This window comes from Homo sapiens, chromosome 1 (assembly GCF_000001405.40).
Source record: "Homo sapiens chromosome 1, GRCh38.p14 Primary Assembly".
NCBI classification, from domain to species: domain Eukaryota; kingdom Metazoa; phylum Chordata; class Mammalia; order Primates; family Hominidae; genus Homo; species Homo sapiens.
In genome coordinates, this window is record NC_000001.11 from 91,340,291 (window position 1) to 91,365,511 (window position 25,221).

The 25,221-nt window shown below is 35.1% G+C and overlaps 1 protein-coding gene across 21 annotated transcripts in view; it reads right to left on the minus strand.

The window, feature by feature from the left end:
- The window catches only part of HFM1 (helicase for meiosis 1), a 147,242-nt gene that overhangs the window by 79,525 nt on the left and 42,496 nt on the right, over nt 1-25,221 (minus strand). For 19 of the 21 annotated variants that reach the window (XM_011540852.3, XM_011540857.2, XM_017000491.2 and 16 more), the window contains 7 exons: nt 12,966-13,009; nt 12,761-12,862; nt 12,216-12,361; nt 11,259-11,353; nt 10,448-10,581; nt 7,139-7,186; nt 3,140-3,220 (listed from right to left, as the gene is read on the minus strand). In XM_011540852.3, coding sequence (XP_011539154.1) covers nt 3,140-3,220; nt 7,139-7,186; nt 10,448-10,581; nt 11,259-11,353; nt 12,216-12,361; nt 12,761-12,862; nt 12,966-13,009 — 650 coding nt within the window. The remainder of the gene's footprint in view (nt 1-3,139; nt 3,221-7,138; nt 7,187-10,447; nt 10,582-11,258; nt 11,354-12,215; nt 12,362-12,760; nt 12,863-12,965; nt 13,010-25,221) is intronic. The other 2 variants (XM_017000490.2, NR_165455.1) reach the window with 2 other exon arrangements.

Here is a 25,221-nt window from a genome sequence, read left to right on the forward strand (position 1 = left end):
CAAGCCACTGTGCCCAGCCTTGGCATTCTTAAAGAAAAGAAACTCCAACCATAAGTTTCATATCCAGCCAAAATAAGCTTCATCAATGAAGGAGAAACAAAATCCTTTTCAGATAAGCTAAGGGAATTGTTTGCATCAGACCTGTCTTATGAGAGGTCCTTAAGACAGTACTAAACATAGAAATGAAAGACCATTACTGGCCACCACAAAGACACACTTTAGTATCTAGACCATTGACACTATAAAGCAACTACATAACATAACATAACAAGTCTACATAACAACACAATGACAAATCTACACATACCAATATCAACCTTGAATATAAACAGACTATAATACCCCACTTAAAAGGCGCAGAGTGACAAGTTGGATAAAGAAGCAAAACCCAACTGTATGTTGTCTTCAAGAGACCCATCTCATATGCAATAACACCCATAGGCTTAAAGGGATGGAGAAAAATCTACCAAGCAAATGGAAAACAAAAAAAGCAGGGGTTGCTATTCTAATTTCAGACAAGACAGACTTTACACCTTAACTATCAAAAAGGACAAAGAAGGACACTGATAATGATGAAAAAGTTCAACACAACAAAAAGATTTAACTATCCTAAATATATATGCATCTAATACTAGAGCACACAGATTCATAAAACAAGTTTTTATAGACCTACAAAGAGACTTAGATACCTACACAATGTTGGGAGGCTTCAACACCCCACTGACAGTATTAGACAGATCATCAGGGCAGAAAACAAATAAAAATGTTCAGGACCTAAACTTGACACTTGACCAAATGGACCTAACAGACATCTACAGAACACTCTATCCAACAACAACAAAATATACATTCTTGTCATCTGCACATGTAACATACTCTAAAATCAACCACACATTCAGCTATAAAGCAATTCTCAACAAATTCAAAAAAAATCATACCAGGCACATTCTTAGACCACAATGCAGTAAAAACAGAAATCAATACTAAGATCTTTCAAAGCCATACAATTACATGGAAATTAAACAACATGCTTCTGAAAGACTTTTCTGAAAATAATGAACTTAAGGCAGAAATCAAGATACTCTTTGTAACTGATGAAAACAAAGGCAGAACATAGCAGAATCTCTGATATACAGGTAAAACAATGTTCAGAGAAAAGTTTATGGCACTAAATGCTCACATCAAAAAGCTAGAAGTATCACATTAGCAACCTCACTAATATCACACCTAGAGGAACTAGAAAAGCAAGAGCAAATCAACCCCAAAGCTGGCAGAGGAATAGAAATAACCAAAATCAGAGCTGAAGTGAACAAAATTGAGAGACACAGAACCACACAAATGATCAACAAAACCAGATATTGGTTCTTTGAAAGAATAAATAAGATTGATAGACTGCTAGCTAGAATAACAAACAAAAAAACAGAAACCAGACAAATAAACACAATCAGAAATGACAAAGAAGATACGACCACCAATCTCACAGAAATACAAAAAAAAAACCCAGAAACTGTTATGAACACCTTTATACACACAAACTAGAAAACCTAGAAGAAATGGGGAGATAGACTGCTGGAAACACAACCTCCCAAGGTTGATCCAGGAAGAAACTGAAACCCTGAACAGACCAATAACAAGTTTCAAAATTGAATCAGAAATAAAAAGACTATCAACAAGAAAAAGCCCTGGACCAGACTGATTCACAGCCAAATTCTACCAAATATATAAAGAAGAGCTGGCACCAATCCTACTGAAACTATTCCAAAAATTTGAGGAGGGACTCCTCCCTAACTCATTCTATGAGGCCAGCATCATTCTGATACCAAAACTTGGCAGAGACACAATGAAAAAAAAAAAAAAAAAATTCAGGCGAATATTCCTGATGAACATAGATGCAAAAATCCTCAACAAAATACTAGCAAACCAAATCCAGAAGCACATCAAAAAGCTAATCCACCGTGAGAGAGAGAGAAAGAGAGAGAGATAGGATTCAGGACACGCTATCCCAAAATGGAGCATCTTGGCTTATTGAATATTTTAAGCTGTAGGAATTTGAGAAACAACATGTACAGGAAGAATTCTTCTGGCCTTTCCCTGAAGCAAGTAATAACACCATCATGTGAGAGGTGCCCTCCCTATACCTAAAGAATGGAGCATCTTTATCTCCATAGACACAGAGTGGAATTTGAATGAACAGGCTTTGCTAAATTTCCCCCAATTTATTACACTTAGTTCATATCCCCTTTGTCCTATCATATTTCTCCATGACTTTTCAATCTTCATCACACCTGGCATAAAAACATTCAGGTTTAACCATTTCTTTGGGTCTTCATTTCCTTATAAAGGCCCCCATGTCACATAAAACATATTAAATAAAGTTGTATGCTTTTCTCTTGTTAATACATTTTGTTATATGAGTCCCAGTTAATGAACCTAAGATGAGTAGAAGGAAAAGATATTTTTACTAACCTTACAGAAGTCTAACCACCAGATTATCAATGGTTGAATATTTAAGAATATAAAAAGCATATTAAAAGCATACCAATAAAAGTATATCTATAATAGTTATAACAGGTTTAAAGCAACCCAAAGATTCAAGCATTTCATTCCTCTGCCAAAAGTCACCAGAATCAGTGAAGACAAATTCTGTGCACCTGTGCCCAGGCACGGTGGCTCAAGCCTGTAATCCCAGCACTTTGGGAGCCCGAGGTGGGCAGATCACAAGGTCAGGAGATCGAGACCATCCTAGCTAACATGGTGAAACCCCGTCTCTACTAAAAATACAAAAAAAAAATTGGCCGGGCATGGTGGCAGGCGCCTGTAGTCCCAGCTACTCGGGAGGCTGAGGCAGGAGAATGGCATGAACCCGGGAGGCGGAGCTTGCATTGAGCTGAGATCTCGCCACTGCACTCCAGCCTGGGCAAAAGAGTGAGACTCTGTCTCAAAAAAAAAAAAAAAAAAAAAAACTATTACAAATAGGACTTGTTTAAATTTATCATGCCTATGGCTAATAATGATGATACCCTGTTGAGAACTGAGATCACAATTTAGTTTTATCACCATCTAAATTTTAGTAAAACAAAATTTTAATTTAGTCTTAAGTAAACAATTGCTAAATTTACTGACAATGATAAGAAATTACCAGTTGGTTTGAAATTAACACCTTCATCCATCTTTATTAAGTCCAGGGATGATAAATCATTCAGATTCTTCAAACATAATTCTGTTTAATTATAGAAAACACATTTTAATTTTAGTAAAATAGGGAAGTAGGGAAAAATAATTTATTATTAAATATGCTAAAGTTGTGCTATTACTGTGTAACTGTTCTAGAAGAACCATAGTCCCTACTTAAGCAGTAAGAGAAAGCTCATTTAAATAAAAAAGCTAACTAATATGCTAAAAACATTTTCTAAAAGTAACAAGAATACAAGTAATAAAAATAACATTCAGTAAGTAGAAATAACACTTAAAACTTGGAGTATTTAAATGATACACATGTATTACCTCATTTAATCTTCAAAACATCACAATAAGGTAGACACCGATATTTTCATATATAGGTTAGGAAACTAAAGAATAGAGGCTAAGTAACTTGCTCCAGGTCTAAGTAACCACTTTGCTATCTGCCCTCCATTAAGGCAATAGTTTTCTTTTTCTTTTTTCTTTAAACTTCTATCAAAGATATATTAATGTATGCACAAATTATAAGAAGTCAAATAGTTCTGCAAAGATTATTCCAAAAACCACCAGTTCTTCCCCTCCTCCCTGTTTGCCACTTTCTTGAAGCAAAAACTTAAAACTGTTTTAACTGATGCTTTTAGGTGTTTACTTTTGTTTCTCTGACAGGAAGCAATGCTAGTTCATGCTCACTATTGATGGGGATCAGAGCAATTGTAGTAATCTGCTGCTGACAGTTCCTTCTCTGCCTCATGCTATAGTCCAGGAGATATAAGATAGTTCAGAGCAGACAGTGGGAATACTGTAATAGTTCAATCCTAAATAGAGCAGCCACTCAAAAAAACACCCTTGGAGTTCTTTGGGAAATATTTTAGTTTAAGCAACACTCTTTAGACAGCTTGATAGTGTTAAGCGTTTGGTTAAGTAAAGATTTTGAAGTCTTTTCTAATTTTCTTAATTACCCACTATTAAATCAGTTCATTACCCACTCACTACTCGATAAGTCAATGAAAAATGCTTACTTTACCATAAGCTGAGCATGATTCTAAGCTCTATGTTTACAGCAGTTAACAAGATAAGGTTCTTCTCTTTAGAACTTATATTTTACAGAAGAAAGCAATTAACATACAAATAAATAATAAGGTTTCACATATACTATAAAGAAACATAAGGCTAAGAACCTATATAGAATGACTGTGTAATTTTAAATCTTTTTACTAAACCTTATCTTTATTTCCTTTCCTTTCTTTTTCTTTCTTTTTATTTTCATTTCTTTTCTTTTCTTGTTTTTTTTTTTGAGACTTGGTCTCACTCTGTTGCCCAGGCTAAAATACAGTAGCATGATCACAGCTCACTGCAGCCTCAACCTCCCAGGCCCAAGCAATCTTCCCACCTCAGTCTCCCGAGTAGCTGGAACTACAGGCATGTACCACCACAACACCAGCTCATTTTTTTTAAAAACTTTGTAAAGGTGGGATCTCCCTATGTTGTCCAGGCTGGTCTCAAACTCCTGAGCTCAAGGCAATCTGCCCACCTTGGAATCCCAAAGGTATTACAGGCATGAACCACCATGCCCAACCTATATGTATTTCTCATAAACGCTACATATTTTGATATAGAGTAAGGCTATCCTCACCCTAATTGTCAAAATAAACACATTACCTTTTCTAAAAACAAGGAAAACAACAACATCATAGAATCATTTTGTCTTCCTCTCAGTAAGATACCACAGGAAGACCTCTCTAAAAGTTAATATTTGAACAGAGACCTGAATAAAATGAAGGTGTAAAATATGCAAGGAGTGTTCCAAAAATAAGGAACAAAGTGTGCAAAGGACTTGATGTGGGAACAAGCTTGGTGTGTTTAAGGAATAGCAAGAAGGCCAATTTGGTGAGAGTAGAATAAAAGAGACAGAAAGTGATAAGAGATGTAGTTAGAGAAATAGGCAGGGAGATATCAAGCAGGATTTTGTGGGCTGTGGTGAAAGTTTGTATTTTATTCTAAGAGTGACGGGGAAGCTATTAAGAGTATACTAAGCAAGAAAGTATAATCAAGTTTAGGAAACAGCATATACTATGCTAAGGATCCTTCCTGACAGATTTAAGGCAGAGCTCCAAGGATAATAGCAGGGCTCAGAAAATGCTGACTCAAGGCATTTCGAACTCAATAAGACTAAGAGGACTTCAGAAACAAGAAAGTCACTCTGATCTTTCCCTGCCTTTCTGTGTGAAGCATGGTCATAAAGGAATTCTCTGACCTACCTTGTCTAAAAGTCTAAGACCCTCATTCCAGGGTGGAATGGTCCTGTCTCATACCCACGGAATGGTCCTATCTCATGCCCGAGAAGAAAGAATGCTACATAGAGAGGCCAAGAAGAATCTGAACAAACAGGCCTTGTTAAGTTCCTCCCAGTTTATTAACATTAGATAATACCCTTTTTGTCCAGTCATGTTTCTCAACAACTATCCATTTTTTTCATTAGAATTGCCAGAGAAATTCAGTTTTCCCTGGGTCTTTGGGTCTTAATTTCTGAAGGCTCCCATATCATACACAACTTTGATTAAATAAATTTGTTATGCTTTTCTCTTGTTAATCTGTCTTGTTACAGGAGTGTCAGCTGTGAACATTGCAATGAATGAGGAAAAGATGTTACTTTTTTTCTCTCCTACAATTCCAAAACCTTAATATTCAGTTATATTTAGCTATTCTTGTTTATAAGGCAAAACTTTGCTAACCCTATACTGACTGAAGACAAGGCAAGTATGAGCTGTGATTCTGCTAATTTAACAAGAGATAAAACATTAAAGTTATCTGAATATAGCAATATATCTCTTTGTCTAATTTCTTGAGTGTATTTGATCATTATTTTCAAAATATATGTTTAATTAAAAATTCCATTACAAAATTTATCAATACCTTGAAGATAACACAACTTATAATCTGTATTTCAACGTGAATACAGCAGCATTATGAATATATGCTATTGGTTATGACCATGTTTTAAGAACATATTTATTCTTTAAGCAAGACAATTTTACTGCTTTATCTTTATCTCTGCATTTTTATTTGCCACACATGTATATCCAAGTAGAGAATAAATTTAAATTGGCTAAATATTTTTAGAGGACCTAACATATTTTCTTTTACTAAGGAGACAGTTTCAACACAATGAAAAGGTAGCAATTTCTAATCTGAATAAATGCCTAACAATATTTTATATTTTAAAAAACAAGTAAGAAACACTAGTTGATTAACTAAATAACAAAGCTGAGGTTGGATAGGAATACATCTTTGGCACAGGTTGGGATACAAAGCCCATAATCAATCTAGGCTTATATTTTTCAATTAAAATTAAGTAGAAAAGAAAAATACATGTTGGGCATGGTCGCTCACAGCTACATTCTCAGTGTTTTGGAAGGCAGAGGTAGTAGGATAACTTGAGGCCAGGAGTTTGAGACCAGGCTGGAAAATACAGTGAGAACCCCTTTCTAAAAAAAATACAAAATTAACCAGTTGTGGTGGCTCACGCCTATAGTCCCAGCTACTCAGGAGGATCATTTGAGCTCAGGAGTTCAAGGTTACAATGAGCTATGATCACGCCACTGCATTCCATCCTGGGTGACAGAGTAAGACTGTCTCTTTTAAAAAAAAGAAAAAATACAGAGTGTGTATCTGTAGGCATATTTTCAAAGACCAGGGTGATGTTAGAAATAAAAACCAAATAAACCAAGTTAACATATTATACAAAGAAAGATATTCTGATAGAATAAATTGATTAATTCAGCAAAAAAGTATATATGCCAAGCTTTTTGTGTGAAAAAGAAATAGTTCACATTATTTTTCTGCAGACAAGTTTCCTTTTTAAAAAATGATTTACAAAAGCATATTCTTACTTTCACAATAACTGAACTTTTTCACTAAAATATATAGAATCTAATTTTTAGAATGAAATGCATCTAACCTTGTAATTTTGCTTCAATTCCATCTTTGTTCAATCCAGATGCAAAACCTGCATGTCATGAAAAAGTAAAATAGAATTTAGCTCATCTTTACAGGCTCAGTTTATACCCCAGTTAACTAGTGAAGAGCAGTCTAATGAAATCTTATATAAGAAAAAAAAATCTCAGCTGATTGAGTTCAAACAAGGCTTAAATATCCACAGAAACAATGAACAGGAATATCATATTTTAACAAGAATGGTATGGAATAAATTTCCAAATGTTTTATACATAGCAAGTATCTATCAAGTGATTAATATCTTCTAATGAACTTTCATTATAACATGAATGTTCCTAGGAAAATATGTTTGGTAATAACAACCATTTTGTGCTATTCACTAAAGCTGAAACTACACATACCCTTTAACACAATAATTTCACTCCTAGGCACATACCCACAGATATACATATACATGTGTATCAAAAGATATACATATAACAATGTTCACAGCAGCATTATTTAAAATTAATAATTTCCTTTCATCAAAAGATTTATATTCATATAAACGGAATCTTTTCAAGAATAGATAAAGCTAGCCTATGGTATGTAAGTCAGAATAGCATTGACTTCTGGGGGCAAATACTGACAGAAAAGGAGCATGAGGGAACATCTAGAAAATGTTCTATATCTTAATCTGGGCTGTGGTTACATGTGTGTATATGTGTGTATAAACACATATATAAAACTTCATTGACCTCTACACCTCATATTTGTGCAGTTTACTATAAGTGATATCTCAATACAAAAAAGTAACTACAGAAAATAAAGTAACTATGAAAAGGAAGAAATGAAAATTAAAACATGAAAAGATACCAATATTCATACATAATATTGATAAAAATACACAAGCATACACCCTGAAGGAAAGGCTGGAGAAACAAAATATGGCACTTTTGAACACTGCTGGTAGATATATGAGCTACTAAGGTACCAATTTAGCCACAGGTATCAAATTTATAAATGCATATATCCTTTGACACAGGAATTTCATTTCTAGAGATTTATCATACGGATAGATTCATACATGTAAAAAATGAAGGGTTTTTTTGCTGCATTGTTCGTAAGAGCAAACAATTAGACAAAGTATAAATGTCCATCAATTGGGGATCATTTAAATAAGTGATACATAAGTAAATGGAATATTATTTAGCTATTACAAAAAAAAGCTTCCAGCCAGGCATGGTGGCTCACAGCTATAATCACAGCACTTTGGGAGGGTGAAATCAGAGGATTGCTTGAGCCCACAAGTTCTAGACCAGCCTAGGCAGCATAGGGAAGCTCTGCCTCTACAATTTTTTTTTTCAAAAGTTAGCCAGGTGTGCTGGCATGTGCCTGTAGTACCAGCTACTCTGGTGGCTGAGGTGAGAAGATCACTTGAGCCCAGAAGGTTGAAGCTGCAGTAAGCTGTGATCACACCATTGGACTTCAGCCTGGGCAACAGAGTGACAGCCTGTCTCAAAAAAGCTTCCAAGACATACTAAGAAAAAAAGGAATGTGCAGAAGACTAAAATAATGGAGGTTTAAAAAAATATGCCACAAGGCCAGGCATGGTGGCTCACACCTGTAATACCAGCACTTTGGGAGGCCAAGGCAGGTGGATCACCTGAGATCAGGAGTTTGAGACCAGCCTGGTCAACATGGTGAAGCGCCGTCTCTGCTAAAAATAGAAAAAATTAGCCAGGTGTGGTGGTGCGTGCCTGTAGTCTGAGCTACTCAGAAGGGTAAGGCAGAGAATTGCTTGAACCTGTGAGGTGGAGATTGCAGTGAGCCAAGATTGTGCCACTGCACTCCAGTCTGGGCAATCAAGAGAGGCTATCTCAAAAAAAAAAAAAATGCCCAGAAATTCTTTGATATTCTGCCCTCTGAGAGATGAACTTAATCCCTCTCGCCTTCATGTGACCAGGACTCAGTGACTTGCTTCTAAAAAACAGAATAAAGCAGAAGTAATGATGTGTGACTTCAGAGACAAAGTTATAAAAAAGTACTGCTGCTTCTGATTTAGTCTGTCTCTGTCTCTGTCTCTCTCTCTCTTTCTCTCTCAGATCATTCATCCTGAGAAAAGTCAGCTGCCATGCTATGAGGAAAGATCCACCTGGCAAAAGACTGAGGCCTGCCAACAACTGTGAGAAACTGAGGCCTCTAACTTATAGCTCTGTGAGTGAGACAATTTACAAGTGAATCTTCAAGACCCAGGAAAGCCTTCAGATGACTGCAGCCCTAGCTGACATATGTTGCAATCTGAAGAGAGCATCTGACCCACAGCCACCTAGCTAAGACACTCCCAGATTCCTAACCCACATAAGCTGTGTGAGATAATAAATTCTGGTTGTTTCTAGATGATTTGTTTCAGGGTAATTTGTTAAAAGGAATGGAAAACTAATACAATATGCCACGATTTGTGTTTAAAAGGTGCGAAACTAAAATTACATTTTCTTATTTACTTTTATATGCAAGAATTATACAAAAAAGATATACCAATGATTACAGAACTAGGGGAAGGAAAGGCAAGAGATAGGAATTGAACAACTGTGTGGGTGGGGATATACATGGAAGAATTTTAGTTGTATATATTCCTTCACTTTATGATTTTTGAACTAAGTAAATGTATTACCTAGTTGAAATATAAGTTTTTAAGTGATATGAGTATTTATATAGATATTCTTTTAATATAGGCTTATATTAATTACTCTTTGAGATCTGAAAGTTTTGAACCTCTGTACATTAGAATGATACTTCAACAAGTCAGGCTTTAATTTGGTATTTCAACAACCCCAAGTTGAATGAATGAGTGAAAAAACCCTCTGGAAGCCACATAACCAGATGTGGGTTAGCTTTAGAAGCAAGATGAAAATTGTGGCAGCAACAGTAGTACTATATACTTTCATTTCTTATAAACTGAAAAATAAACAGTCATAAACTCAGAAAAAGTGAGTAGCTGAACACTAAGTACAGAAAAAATTCAAAACTTTTTGTAACTAACTTATTTTCAATGATTTAGACATTTCTGTTATTTTTATTGGAGCTGAATTTTTTTCTACTAGATCTATTTTTAATGGTGTTGATTTCAAACCTTGTTGAAACACTAGAAGTAAAACAGATAAAAATTTCTCAGCTTGTCTACTCTTGTCTCTAAATGTATTTGGGACTGTTGTTACCTTTTGTTTTGTTACCTATTAGTTTCTGTAATCTATCTATCCTGTAACTTATTAGTATAAATACAGGCCTAGCTGGCTTGAAAAAATTACTACTTTTCCAAGTCAAAGTAACAAACCATAATGAGATGGATTTTTCAAGGCTCTGATATAAAGCAGAGTTGATCGTATCCATTCCACAGCAATATTCACATCCGTGATGGTATGCAGTACTATCTCTGCATTTAAATGTTCAATAAGATGTCTGTGCAAACTAATGAAAAAAAACTTTGCATTATGAATATGCAGTTCAATGCCATAACTCTTACTTTTTAACTTTAATAATATAGAATATACCCATTGCTACTTTACTAATTCATGAAATATAACTTAATTTCCAAAAACATAAAAGAAAACCTTAAAAAGTCAGTTCAACTTCTAAAAGGCTTCAGATATACCTCTCTACTCTATGGCTGTAGAAGACAGGTTATTGCTTTAACAAAAGTTGAAGCGTAAATTATATCCTACTTTCTCCAAAAGAGAATACATTAAATACTTTACTAATAGGTTCCAGATTTCCTCTATTATTAAGTTAAAATAAGAAGTGAAAATGATATTTCTCCTTTATTACAAATTAGTAATTATAAATTTACATAATTTCATATATAAATTATAACATAATCATAATTACTAAGGCTTTATTACAAATTAGGGTTTGTTATAAACAAGAATACATGCTTGCCAAGAAATACCACTGAATAAAACTAGTACCTTTTAAAAAAATTATTAAATTCCCTAAAATGACACAAACTTTCTAGTTAAATAGTTGAAAACTTTACAGAAAATTGCCTTAAAAAAATCTCCAAACCAAATTTCCCTTTGATATTTTAAAAGGAAATAAAATAAGCTATATTAGCATTAGTATCTTTTTGGAACTTTTTTTTATACTACCTGCTTTCTACAGTGTCTCTACAAGCTAACATCTGAATGTACTTGTCCCTTGTGCTTAATCGAGTCATGATAACTGCAGTAGCTGTAGTGTCAAACTGGGGAGAAAACAAACAGAAATTTAGTGAAGAAGAGCACATCTTGGTAGCAGTCCTCTTCAATAACTGAAGACTTCCATTTTATATTAAACAGTCTCCTTGTCTGAAATAATACTTCAAAAAGGCCTTAAAAATGCTCTCATTTTTTTAACCTAAAATTTAATTTAAAAGCCTTCCAAGAGTATAGCTGTAAATATCACTTTGGTTTCAATGTAACATAATTTTGGCAATGTTAAAATCAAAACAAACTTTGGTAACTGTATAAAAGTTGTAAGATTTGGTATAATTTACATATAATCTGATTTACTCTATGAAATTGTAGAACTGTACAACATAATATTTACAAATGTTTTGAAAATATAATCTTCCTGATGTTCCCATAATACCTATAAAAATGACTTATTCATGTATTTGTCAGAGTAGGGTATGTTTTGAAATGTATTTGGACTTTTGTCATAATTCCTGGGAACACAATTAGCATTTAGTGCTAGGACCTAGGGATGTTTCATGTTCTGTAATGTGACAGCCCTAAGCAAGGAAAACCTGTTCCATCCAAAATGCTAAGAGTACCCCCATTCAGAATTTAAAAAAAAAAAAAAACAGTCAAAATCAAAAAGACCTTTAACAGCATACCCATTCATAAACCCATCCCCTCATCAGCCAAGACAAGCTTAGACAGAATGAAGGAAGTATGTCCCAGTTGGTGAGGCTTGTCTTACTTTTATTCCTCCACTAAAGGTAAATTTTCTCTGCTATATTACTTTTAAGCCTGATACAATTATGACATGCTAATCAAAAAATACACAATTTTTTTGTTTTTATCATGTTTTTAAGTATAAAAAGCAAAGTTATTGTCACTTACTTGAGGTCGACCAGCTCTACCAATCATCTGTAGAATATCTGTTTCACTGTACTCTTCAAACAGTCCTCCAGCATAATGCATTGTAGATTTTATAACTACTAGGTGAGCAGGCAAATTTACTCCCATAGCTAAAGTACTGGTAGTAACTGCATCAGATTAAGACATAGTAATTTTGAGCCATTTAACTTTGTTGCTTCAGGAACATTTTTTAATAAAAGACATTCTTATAAATGTAATAAAAACTCATACATAAGAAATTTAGAAAAGAAAAAAGAGCATTACAATCTAAAATAGTAACACACCTTAAATCCAAAAACCTATTAAATTCTTGTTTTTCAAATTACACCATGTTCAACAATATGATAAAGAACTAAACACTACCAAAGAATTTACTGTAGCATCTACATGCATAGGTAACCACTTAATTTTATATTCTCAGAAGAAAAGCAGAAACAAGCAGAACACTTGCGCTTTTTCCTTTTTTCCTCTTAAAAATAATTTTCCAAAATATTTTATAGTATCCACGAGAAATATGTTTTACTTACAAAGAACTGGTAAATCTCCAACAGTAAAAGCTCCCTCAACTACTTTTCTATCTGACAGCTCCATACCAGCATGATGATAAGCAGCACCATCTTTTAAGATATCTGTAATAGAAATATATCAGCTGTTACTATTAATATTTCATCAATAATTGGCACCTTTCATCTATATGTGAAAATGCTATTCAAAAATTATCTCTAAACCTACCTCTCAGTTTTGAATCTCTTACGGAATATGCATACTTCTGTAACCTATTTAAAAATACCATAAAATTATTGAGTTACTCCCAGTAACATTAGAGAACTCTGAAACAGTTTATTATTTTAAAACTTAGAGATATCAAAAAATTTTCACAATATCATTATCTGAAAACTATTTTAAGAAGTAGAAAATATCCAACTTTCATATTCAAAAGTCCCTAAACTTATGAGCTACAATATTAAAGCTCACTTTTAAACCAAGAATTTGGAAAACTCACTTTCCCCAAGAAAACAACATAATTGGTGATTAACAAGTCAGTATAAAAGTCTACTCTCATAATTTGCCTAAAAAAAATTATAAGAAGTAACCATTTCTAAAACTACTATATTACTAGTAAATAAGCAAAAAAAAAAAAAAAAAAAACATGGAAATAAACCATAGTGTTTCCAGTGCTCTGAGACATGGCATTTAAAAAAACTAGGTTAGGAGGAAGCAAGATGGTCAACTAGAGATGCCTAATGCTCATCTTCCCCACAAAAAAGAGCAAAACAATGAATAAACAACTAACTACATTTTGAACAGAATGACTAAAGGAAAGTGCCTCTCTATAAATTTGAAAGAGGTGATTATTCCACTAGTTGTGCAGACATCAATAGAGGGACACAGGAAACATGAAAAAAAAAAAAAACCAACCAAAAAACCAGGAAATACACCACCAACAAAGGAACGCAATAATTCTCCAGTAACTGATTCCAAAAAACAGAAATTTGTAAACTGTCTGAAAAGGAGTTCAAAGTAATGATCCTAAGAAAACTCACTGAGATACAAGAGAATACAGATAGACAGGTCAATGAAATCAGGAAAACAATTCATTATCTGCACAAGAAAGTTATTCAAAAAGAACCAAACAGAAATCTTGGAGCTAAAGAATTAAATGAATGAAATCAAAAATAGAGAGCTTCAACAGCAAACCAAAACAAGCAGAAGAAAGAATCTGTGAAATGAAGTTAGGTTTCTGAAATAGCCTAGTCAGAGGGAAAAAAAAGAAAGAGAAAAGAACAAAAAAGAGTGAACAAAGCCTATAGGACTTATGGGACACCATTAAGCAAACAAGTATTCATATTATGGAGGTTCCAGAAGGAGAAGAATGAGGAAAAGGCATAGAAAGTTTATTTAATAAAATAATTGCTGAAAACTTCCCAAGTCTTGGGAGAGACATGGACATCCAGTTCCATGAATCTCAAAATCACCAAACACGTTCAAACCCAAAAAGGTCCTCACTGAGGCACATTATAACCAAAATGTGGAAAGTCAAAGACAAAGAGAGAATTTTAAAAGTAGCAAGAGAAAAGTGTCAAGTGATTTATAGGGGAATCTCCATTAGACTATCAGTGTTTCTCAGCAGAAACCTTGCAGGCCAGGAGAGCATGAGATGATACATTCAAAGTCCTGAAAGAAGACAATATTGCCAGTAAACAATACTATACAAAGCAAAGCTGTTCATCAGAAATGAGGAGAAATAAAGTCTCAGCCAGATAAATAAAAGCTGAAGAAATTCACCACTAGACCTGCCTTATAAGAAATGATTAAAGCAGTTCTTCTACCAGATACAAAAGAATGATAATTAGTATCATGAAAACATATGAAAGCATAAAACACACTGGTAGAGGTAAATACACAGTCAAATTCAGAATGTGCCACCACTGTAATGGTGGTGTGCAAATCTTTCAAATCTCTATTATGAAGGTGAAAAATCAAAATAGTCAAAAATACAGCTACAATGAGTTGTTAAGGAATACTGAATATAAAAAGATGTAAACTGTGTCAACAAACATAAATTGTGGGGGGAGGGCAAAAATCTAGAGTAGTTGTATGTGACTGAAGTTCAGTTTAAAATAGTCTATTATAACTCTAAGATATTTTACGTAAGCCTTGTGGTAACTGCAAAGCAAGAAGCTACAGAAGATACAGATGAGAAAGAGAAAGGAATCAAAGCTTAGCGCTACAGAAAAACAACAAATCACAAACTTATACAACAAGAGGAAGAAAGGAACAACTGATCTACCAAGCAACCAGAAAACAATTAAAATGGCAGGAGTAAGTCCTTATCTATCAATAATAACCCTGAAGGCAAATGAATTAAATTCTCCAATCAAGACATATAGTGTCTAAATTGATAGAAGAAAAAAAAAAAACCAAGATCCAACTACATGCTGCCTACCAGAGATCCATCTTAGCTATAAGGACACCGGCTGAAAGTTAAGGGGTAAAAGAAAATATTCTACATAAATAGTAACCAAAAGAGAGCAGGGTGGCTATTCTTACATCAGTTAAAATGACTTTAAGTCAAAAACTGTTACAAGAGGCAAAGAAGGTCATAATTTAACGACAAAGGGGTCAATTCATCAAGAGCACATAAGAATTGTAAATATATAAGCACCCAACACTGAAGCATAACATATATATAAAACATTATTAAAGGACATGAAGAGAGAAATAGACAACAATACAATAATAGGAGGGGTCTTCAATATCCCACTTTCAATAATGATAGATTAACCAGACCGAAAGTTAACAAAGAAATACTGGACTTGAATTGTACTTTGAGTCAAATGGACCTAACAGACAAATATAGAACTTTGCATTCAATAGCAGCAGAATGTATACGCTTCTCTAGAGCATACGAAACATTCTACAGGACAGATCATACATTAAGCCACAAAACTAGATTTAACTATTTTTAATTAATCTAAATTCAAGACGATTGAAATCATATGTAGTATCATTTCTGACCACAACAATATGAAACTAGAAATCAATAACAGGAAAAATCTTGAAAAAAATCACAAGTATGTGGAAACTAAACAACATGCTCCTAAACAATCAATGGTCAAAGAAACCAAAAGGGAAATTAAAAAATATCTTGAGACAAGTAACAATGGAAAGACAACACACCAAAACCTATGAGATGCAGCAAAAGTGGTTCTAAGAGGAATTTTTTTTTTTTTTTTGAGACAGAGTTTCACTCTTGTTGCCTAGGCTGGAGTGCAATGGCATGATCTCGGCTCACTGCAACCTATGCCTCCCAGGTTCAAGCGATTCTCCTGCCTCAGCCTCCTGAGTAGCTGGGATTACAGGCATGTACCACCACGCCTGGCTAATTTTGTATTTTTAGTAGAGACATGGTTTCCCCATGTTGGTCAGGCTGGTCTTGAACTCAAGAGGAAATTTTATGCAATAAGTGCCTATATTAAAAAAAGAAGATACTAAATAGACAGCCTAACATTATACCTACAGGAGCTAGCAAAAGAACAAACTAAATGCAAAGTTAGCAGAAGAAAGGAAATAATAAAGATCAGAACAGAAATAAATCAAATAGAGATCCACCAAAAAAACATAGAAAATGATCAATAAAACCAAGACTTGGTTCTTTGAAAAAATAAAATAAACAAATATCTAGCTAGACTAAGGAAAAAAAAAGAAGAAACAAATAAAATAAAAAATGAAACTGGAGAAATCACCAACAGATGCCTCAGAAATCAAAGAGATCATAAGGGGCTATTATGAACAATTATATATTAATACTAACAAATTGGATAACCTACAGGAAATGGACAAACTCCTAGAAAAATACAACCTGCTAAGTTTGAATCAGGAAGAAATAGAAAGCTTAAACAGACCAATAACACATAATGAGATTGAAGTAGTAATGAAGAATCTTCCAACAAGGAAAAGCCCAGAACCAGACAGCATCACAACTGAATTCTACCAAACATTCAAAGAAGAATTACCACCAATACTTCATAAACTATTCCAAAAAATACAGCTACAGGGAATACTTCCAAACATATTTTGTGAGGCTACTATCACGTTGATACCTAGGCCACATAAAGACACTACAAGAAAACTATAGGCTAGTATCTCTGATGAATATTGATGCAAAAATCCTCAATAAAATATATGCAAACTGAATTCAACAACACATCAAAAAGGATTATACACCATGGCCAAGTGGATTTATTCCTGGCAAGCAAGGCTGGTTTAATATATGCCAATCAACCACTGTGATATATCACATTAACAGAATGAAAGATAAAAAACACAAGACCATCTCAATTGGTGCAGAAAAAGCATTTGACAGCAAGTTCAACATCCTTTCTTGATAAAATCTCTTAACACGCAGGCATATAAGGAAAACTTCTCAACTAATGTAACAAAGGCCATTTATGAAAAGCCCACAGCCAACATCATAATCAATGGGGAACAACTGAAAGCTTTTCCACCAAGATACAGTACAAGGCAGGGATGCCCACTCTCACTGCTTCTATTCAACACAGTACTGGAAGTACTACCAAGAGCAATCAGATAAGAAAAAAATAAAAGGAATTCAAATTTGAAAGGAAGAAGTAAAACTATCTTTATTTGCAGACAACATTATCTTACATGTAAAAAAACCTCAAAGATTCATTAAAAAACTGTTAGAACTAATAATTCAGTAAAGTTGCAGGATTCAAAATCCATATACAGAGATTAGTAGCATTTTTAAACAAAAATAATAATTTAACTGAAAAAGAAATCTAGAAAACAATCCCAGTTATGACAGCATAAAAAAATAAAATGCTTAGGAATAAGTTTAATTAAGGAGGTAAAAGATCTGTACACTGAAAGCTATCAAACAATGGTGACAGAAATCCAAGACAAAAATAAATGGAAAGATATCCTGTGTTGATGGATTGAAAGAATTAATATTGTTAAAATGTCCATACTACCCAAAGAAGTACAGATTCAATACAATCCCTATCAAAATTCCAATGGCATCCTTCACAGAAATAGAAGAAAAAATCATAAAATTAACTTTGGGATGCCGAGATGGGTGGATCACAAGGTCAGGAGATCAAGACTATCCTGGCTAACATGGTGAAACCCCATCTCTACTAAAAATACAAATGGTGTGAACCTGGGAGGCGGACCTTGCAGTGAGCCGAGATCGCGCCACTGCACTCCAGCCTGGGCAACAGAGCAAGACTCCATCTCAAAAAAAAAATTTTTTTTCATAAAATTAGTATGGAACCACAATAAACCCTGGATAGTGACAGCAAAACTGAGAAGGAAAAGAAAGTTGGAGCTACACACTTTCTGATTTAAAATTATACTACAAAGCTGGACTAACCAAAACAATATAGTACTTGCATAAAAACAGAAACACAGACCAATGGAACAGAACAGAGAGCCCAGAAATAAGTCCAAACATACACAGTCAACTAATTTTCCATTAGGGCACCAAAAAAAATGGGGAAACAATAGTTTCTTCTATAAATGAGGCTGGAAAAACAATTTCCATATCCAAAAGAATAAAATTGCACCCTTATACCATACACAAAAATCAACTCAAAAATTGACAAAAGATCTAAATGTAAGACCTGAAATCATAAAACTCCCAGAAGAGAACATAGGGCAAAGCACCTTGATATTGGCCTTGGCAATGCAGCACACCTGCTCTACCAAAAAAACAGTCAGACTGTTTCTTTGGGGGGGTCCCTGATCCTGTTCCACTGACTGGGTGAGACATCCCAACTGGGGTTTCCAGCCACCTCCTAAAGGTACATGCAGACTGGCAACAGGTCAGTACTCCCTGGGGATGGAGCTTCTAGAGGAAGTAGCTGGCTGTCATCTTTGCTGTTTCACAGTCTTCACTGGTGATATTTCCAGGTACGGGAGAAACTGAGGCAACTAGGGTTTGGAGCAGATCCCCAGCAAACTGCGGCAGCTCTACAGTAGAGTGGCCTGTTAAAAGCAAAACAAACAGAAAACACCACCACCAACAACAAAAAAGATCCCATAAAAACCTCATTCAAAGGTCAGCAACATCAAAGATCAAAGGTAGATAAGCCCACAAAGATGAGAAAGAGTCAACGTAAAAACACTGAAAACTGAAAAAGCCATAGTGTCTCTTCTCCTAATGACTGTAACATTTCTCCAGCTAAGAACTGGGCTGGAGGCTGAGATGGCTGAATCGACAGAAGTAGGCTACAGAAGGTGGGTAATAACAAACTTCACTGAGCTAAAGGAGCATGTTATAACCTAATGCAAAAAAAGGTAAGAACCATGGTAAAACAGTACAGGAGCTGATAGCCAGAACAGCCAGTTTAGAGAGGAACATAACTGATCTGATGGAGGTGAGAAACACAACACGAGAACTTCACAATGCAATCGCAAGTATCAATAACAGAATAGACCAAATGGAGGAAAGAATCTCTGAGCTAGAAGATTATCTTTCTGAAATAAGACAGGCAGACAAGAATACAAAAAAAAAAAAAAAGGAAGAAGAAGAATGAAAAGGAATGAACAAAACCTCCAAGAAATATGGGATTAAGTAAAGAAACCAAACTTACAACTGACTGGTACCTGAAAGAAACAGGGAGAACAAAACCACACTGGAAAACATACTTCAAGAGAACTTCCAGGAGAACTTCCCCAACCTAGCAAGACAGCCCAGCATTCAAATTCAGGAAATGCAGAGAACCCCAGGAAGATACTCCACACGAACATCAACCTGAAAAGACATAATCATCAGATTCTCCAACGTTGAAATGAAAGAGAAATGTTAAGGGCAGCCAGAGAGAAAGTCAGGTCACCTACAAAGGGAAACTCATCAAACTAACAGTGGATCTCTCAGCAGAAAACCTACAAGCCAGAAGAGACTGGGAGCCAATATTCAACATTCTTAAAGAAAAAAATTTCTGACCCAGAATTTCCTATCTGGCCAAACAAAGCTTCATAAGCAAAGGAGAAATAAGGTTCTTTTCAGAGACAGCAAATGCTGAGGGAAGTCGCCAGGCCTGCCTTGCAAGAGTTCCTGAAGGAAGCACTAAATATGGAAAGGATAAACAAGTCTGAAAAATAACCAGCTAGCATCATGATGACAGGATCAAATTCACACATAACAATACCAATCTTAAATTGTAAATGGGCTAAATGCCCCAATTAAAAGGCACAGAATGGCAAGCTGGATAAAGAGCCAAGACCCACTGGTATGCAGTCTTCAAGAGACCCATCTCAGATGCAAAGACACACAGGCTCAAAATAAAGGGATGAAGGAAAACTTACCAAGCAAATGGAAAACAGAAAAAAGCAAGGGTTGCAATCCTAGTTTCTGACAAAATAGACTTTAAACCAACAAAGATCAAAAAAGACAAAGAAGGGCATTACATAATGGTAAAGGGATCAATGCAACAAGAAGAGCTAACTATCCTAAATATATATGCACCCAATACAGGAGCACCCAGATTCATAAAGCAAGTTCTTAGAGATCTACAAAGAGACTCAGACTCCCAGACAATAATACTGGAGACTTTAACAACCCATTGACAATATTAGACAGATCACTGAGACAGAAAATTAACAAAGATATTCAGGACCTGAACTCAGCTCTGGATCAAGTGGACCTGACAGATAGCTACAGAACTCTCCACTCAAATTCAACAGAATATACATTTTTCTGATAGCTACATGGCATGTACTCTAAAACTGATCACATAATTGGAAGTAAAACACTTCTCAGCAAATGTAAAAGAATGGAAATCATAACAAACAGTCTCTCAGACCAGAGCACAATCAAATTAGAACTCAAGATTAAGAAATACACTCAAAACCACACAACTACATGAAAACTGAACAACCTGCTCCTGAATGACTCTTGGGTAAATAATGAAATTAAGGCAGAAATCAAGAAGTTCTTTGAAACTAATGAGAACAAAGAGACAATGTACCTGAATCTCTGGGACACAGTTAAAGCAGTGTTAAGAGAGAAACATATAGCACCAAATTCCCCCATCAAAAAGCTAGAAATATCCCAAGTTAACAACCTAACATCTCAACTAAAAGAACTAGAGAACCAAGAGCAAACAAACCCCAAAGCTAGCAGAAGACAAGAAATAACGAAGATCAGAGCTGAACCGAAGGAGATAGAGACATGAAAAAACCCTTCAAAAAAAAAAAATCACCAAATCCAGGAGCTAGTTTTTTGAAAAAATTAACACAATATATAGACTGCTAGCTAGACTAATAAAGAAGAAAGGAGAGAAGGATCAAATAAACACAATCAGAAATGATATGGGGGATATCACCACTGACCCCATAGAAATACAAACAACCATCAGAGAATACTGTAAAGACCTCTATGCACATAAACTAGAAAATCTAGAAGAAATGGATGAAATCCTGGACACACACTCTCTTCCAAGACTGAACCAGGAAGAAATTGAATCCCTGAGCAGACCAATAATGAGTTCTGGAATTGAGACAGTAATAACTAGCTTACCAACCAAAAAAAGCCCAGGACCAGAAAGATCCACAGCTAAATTCTACCATGGGTACAAAGAAAAGCTGTCACCATTTCTACTGAAACTATTCCAAAAGACTGAAAAGGAGGGACTCCTCCCTAACCCATTTATGAGGCCAGCATCATCCTGATACCAAAACCTGGTGGAGATACAACAAAAAAGGAAAACGTCAGGCCAATATCCTTAATGAACACTGATGCAAAAAGCTTCAATAAAATACTGGCAAACTGAATCCAGCAGCACATCAAAAAGCTTACCCACCATGATCAAGTTGGCTTCATCCCCAGGATGCAAGGTTGGTTCAATGTACACAAACCAATAAATGTGATGCATCACATAAACAGAATGAAAGACATTATTATCCCAATAGACACAGAAAAGGACTTCGATACAATTCAACACTCCTTCATGTTAAAAACTCTCAACAAACTAGGTATTGAAGGAACATACCTCAAAATAATAAGAGCTATATATGACAAACCCATAGCCAATACCATATTGAATGGGCAAAAACTGGAATCATTCCCCTTGAAAACTGGCACAAGAAAAGGATCCCTTCTCTCACCACTCCTATTCAACACAGTTTTGGAAGTTCTGGCAAGGGCAATCAGGAAAGAGAAAGAAATACAGGTATTTAAATAGGAAGAGAGGAAGTCAAATTATCTTTGTTTGCAGATGACATGATCCTATATTTAGAAAACGTCATCTTCTCAGCACAAAAGCTTCTTAAGCTATTAAGCAATTTCAGCAAAGTCTCAGGATACAAAATCAATGTGCAAAAATCTCTAGCATTCCTATACACCAACAACAGGCAGTCAGAGAGCCAAACAGTGAATGAACTCCCATTCACAATTGCTACAAAAAGAATAAAATACCTAGGAATACAGCTAACTAGGGAGGTAAAGAAACTTTTCAAGGAAAACTACAAACCACTGCTCAAAGAAATCAAAGTGGATACAAGCAAATAGAGAAACATTCCATGCTCATGGATAGGAAGAATCAATATTGTGAAAATGGCCATACTGCCCAAAGTAATTTATAGATTCAATGCTGTTCCCACTAAACTACCATTGACATTATTCACAGAATCAGAAAAAAACTATTGTAAAATTTATATGGAACCAAATAGCTGAGATGATCCTAAGCAAAAGAACAAAGCTGGAGGTATCATTCTACCCATCTTCAAACTATACTATTATAGTAACCAAAACAGCATGGGGCTGGTACAAGAACAGACACATAGACCAAAGGAAAAGAATAGAGAACCCAGAAATAAGACGACACACCTACAAACATCTGATCTTCAACAAATGTGACAAAAGCAAGCAATGGGGAAAGGACACCCTATTTAATAAATGGTGCTGGGAGAGCTGGCTAGCCATATGCAGAAAATTGAAACTGGACCCCTTCCTTACACCCTACACAAGAATTAACTCAAGATGGATTACAGACTTAAATGTAAAACCGAAAACTATAAAAACCCCAGAAGAAAATCTAGGCAATACCCTTCAAGTCATAGGCACGGGCAAAGATTTCATGAAGAAAACACCAAAAGCAATTACAACAAAAGCAAAAATTGACAAATGGCATCAAATTAAAATCAAAATAAGGAGCTTCCATTCAGCAAAAGAAATATCATGAGAGTAAATAGACAACCCACAGAATAGGAGAAAATTTCTGCAATCTATCTATCTGACAAAGGTCTCATATCCAGAGTCTACAAGGAACTTGAACAAAATTACAAGAAAAAAAACAAACAACCCCATTAAAAAGCGGGCAATGGACATGAACAGACACTTTTCAAAAGATGACACACGTGGCCAACCAATATTATGAAAAAAAGCTCAACATCACTGATCATTAGAGAAATGTAAATCAAAACCACAATGAGATACCATCTCATGTCAGTCAAAATGGCAATTACTAAAAAGTCAAAAAAAAAAAAAACAGATGCTGGCGAGGTTGCAGAGAAAAAGGAACGCTTTTACACTGTTTGTAGTGTAAATTAGTTCAACCATTGTGGAAGACGTTGTGGCAATTCCTCAAAGACCTACAACCAGAAATACCATTTGACCTAGCAATCCCATTACTGGGTATATACCCAAAGGAATATAAATTATTATTTTATAAGGATACATGAACACATATGTTCATTGCAGCATTATTCACAATAGCAAAGACATGGAATCAACCTAAATGCCCATCAGTGATAGACTGGATAAAGAAAATGTGGCACATATATACTCTGGAATACTACACAGCCGTAAAAAGGAATGATATCATGTCCTTTGCAGAGACATGGATGGAGATGGAAGCCATTATCCTCAGCAAACTAACACAGGAACAGAAAAGCAAACACCACATGTTCTCACTTATAAGTGGGAGCTGAATGATGATAACACATGGACATATGGAGGGGAACACATTGGGACCTGTTGGGGAGGTTGGGGAGGGAGAGCATTAAGAATAATAGCTAATGGATGCTGAGCTTAATACCTAGGTTATGCGATGATTTGTACAGCAATCCACCATGTCACATGTTTACCTATATAACAAACCCATACATCCTGCACATGTACCCTTAAACTTAAAAGTGGAAGGAAAAAAAAAACATAAGAATGGCCAACAGGTATATGAAAAGGTGTTGAACATCACTAATTATCAGGAAATGTAAATTAAAACCACTATATTATAGACAACAAATACAGGTGATGGTGTGGAAAAAAGGGAATCCTAGTACACTGTTGGTGGGAATGCAGATTGGTACAGCCATTATGGAAATAGTATTGAGATTTCTAAAGATATTAAAAATGGAATTACCATATTACCAAGCAACCTCTTCTCTGGGTATATACCCAAAGAAGAGATCATTACCTCATAAAGATATCTGCACTCCCATGTTCCTTGCAGATTGTTCATAGTAGTTAAGATATGGAAACAGCCTAAAGGTCTGTTGATGAACTAATGCATAAGAAAAATGTGGTATCTGTGTGTGTATATATACATATACATATACATATATATATATATATATATATATATTTTTTTTTTTTTTTTGAGACAGAGTCTTGCTCTGTCGCCCAGGCTGGAGTGTGCAGTGGCACGATCTCAGCTTACTGCAAGCTCTGCCCCCCGGGGTTCACGCCATTCTCCTGCCTCAGCCTCCAGGGTAGCTGGGACTACAGGCACCAGCCACCACGCCCGGCTAATTTTTTGTATTTTTAGTAGAGATGGGGTTTCACCATGTTAGCCAGGGTGGTCTTGATCTCCTGACCTCATGATTCGCCTGCCTCGGCCTCCCAAAGTGCTGGGACTACAGGCGTGAGCCACCGCGCCTGGTGTGTATATATATATAACATAGTATACACACACATACACACACACATGCACACACACAATGGAATATTATTCAGCCTTATAAAAGAATGAGATTCTGCGACTTGCCACAACATGGCTGGACCTGGAGTACATTGCTAAGACACTAACTGAAATAAGCCAGTCACAGAAAGAAAAATATTGTATGTTCTCACTCACATGTGAAACGTGTTTTTAAAAAGTCAACTATACAGAGATAGAGAATAAAATAGTAGTTATCAGAGGCAGGAAGGGTGGGAACGGGGGAAGAAATGGGGAGATGTAGGTCAAAGGATATACAGAAAAGCAGATACATAGTGTGAACAAATCTAGAGACCTAATGTACAACATAAAGACTATAGTTAATAAAAATTATTTTGGATTAGGGATTCTTGTTAAGTAAGTAGATTTAGCTGCTCTTGTCAAAAAAAAAACTATGTGAGATGAGAGATATATTAATTTGCATCACTACAGTAACCATTTTACTAGCTATATGAATCACATAACATCATGTTGTAAACCTCAAATATGCCATATAAAATTTATTTTTTAAAAAAGAAAACTAG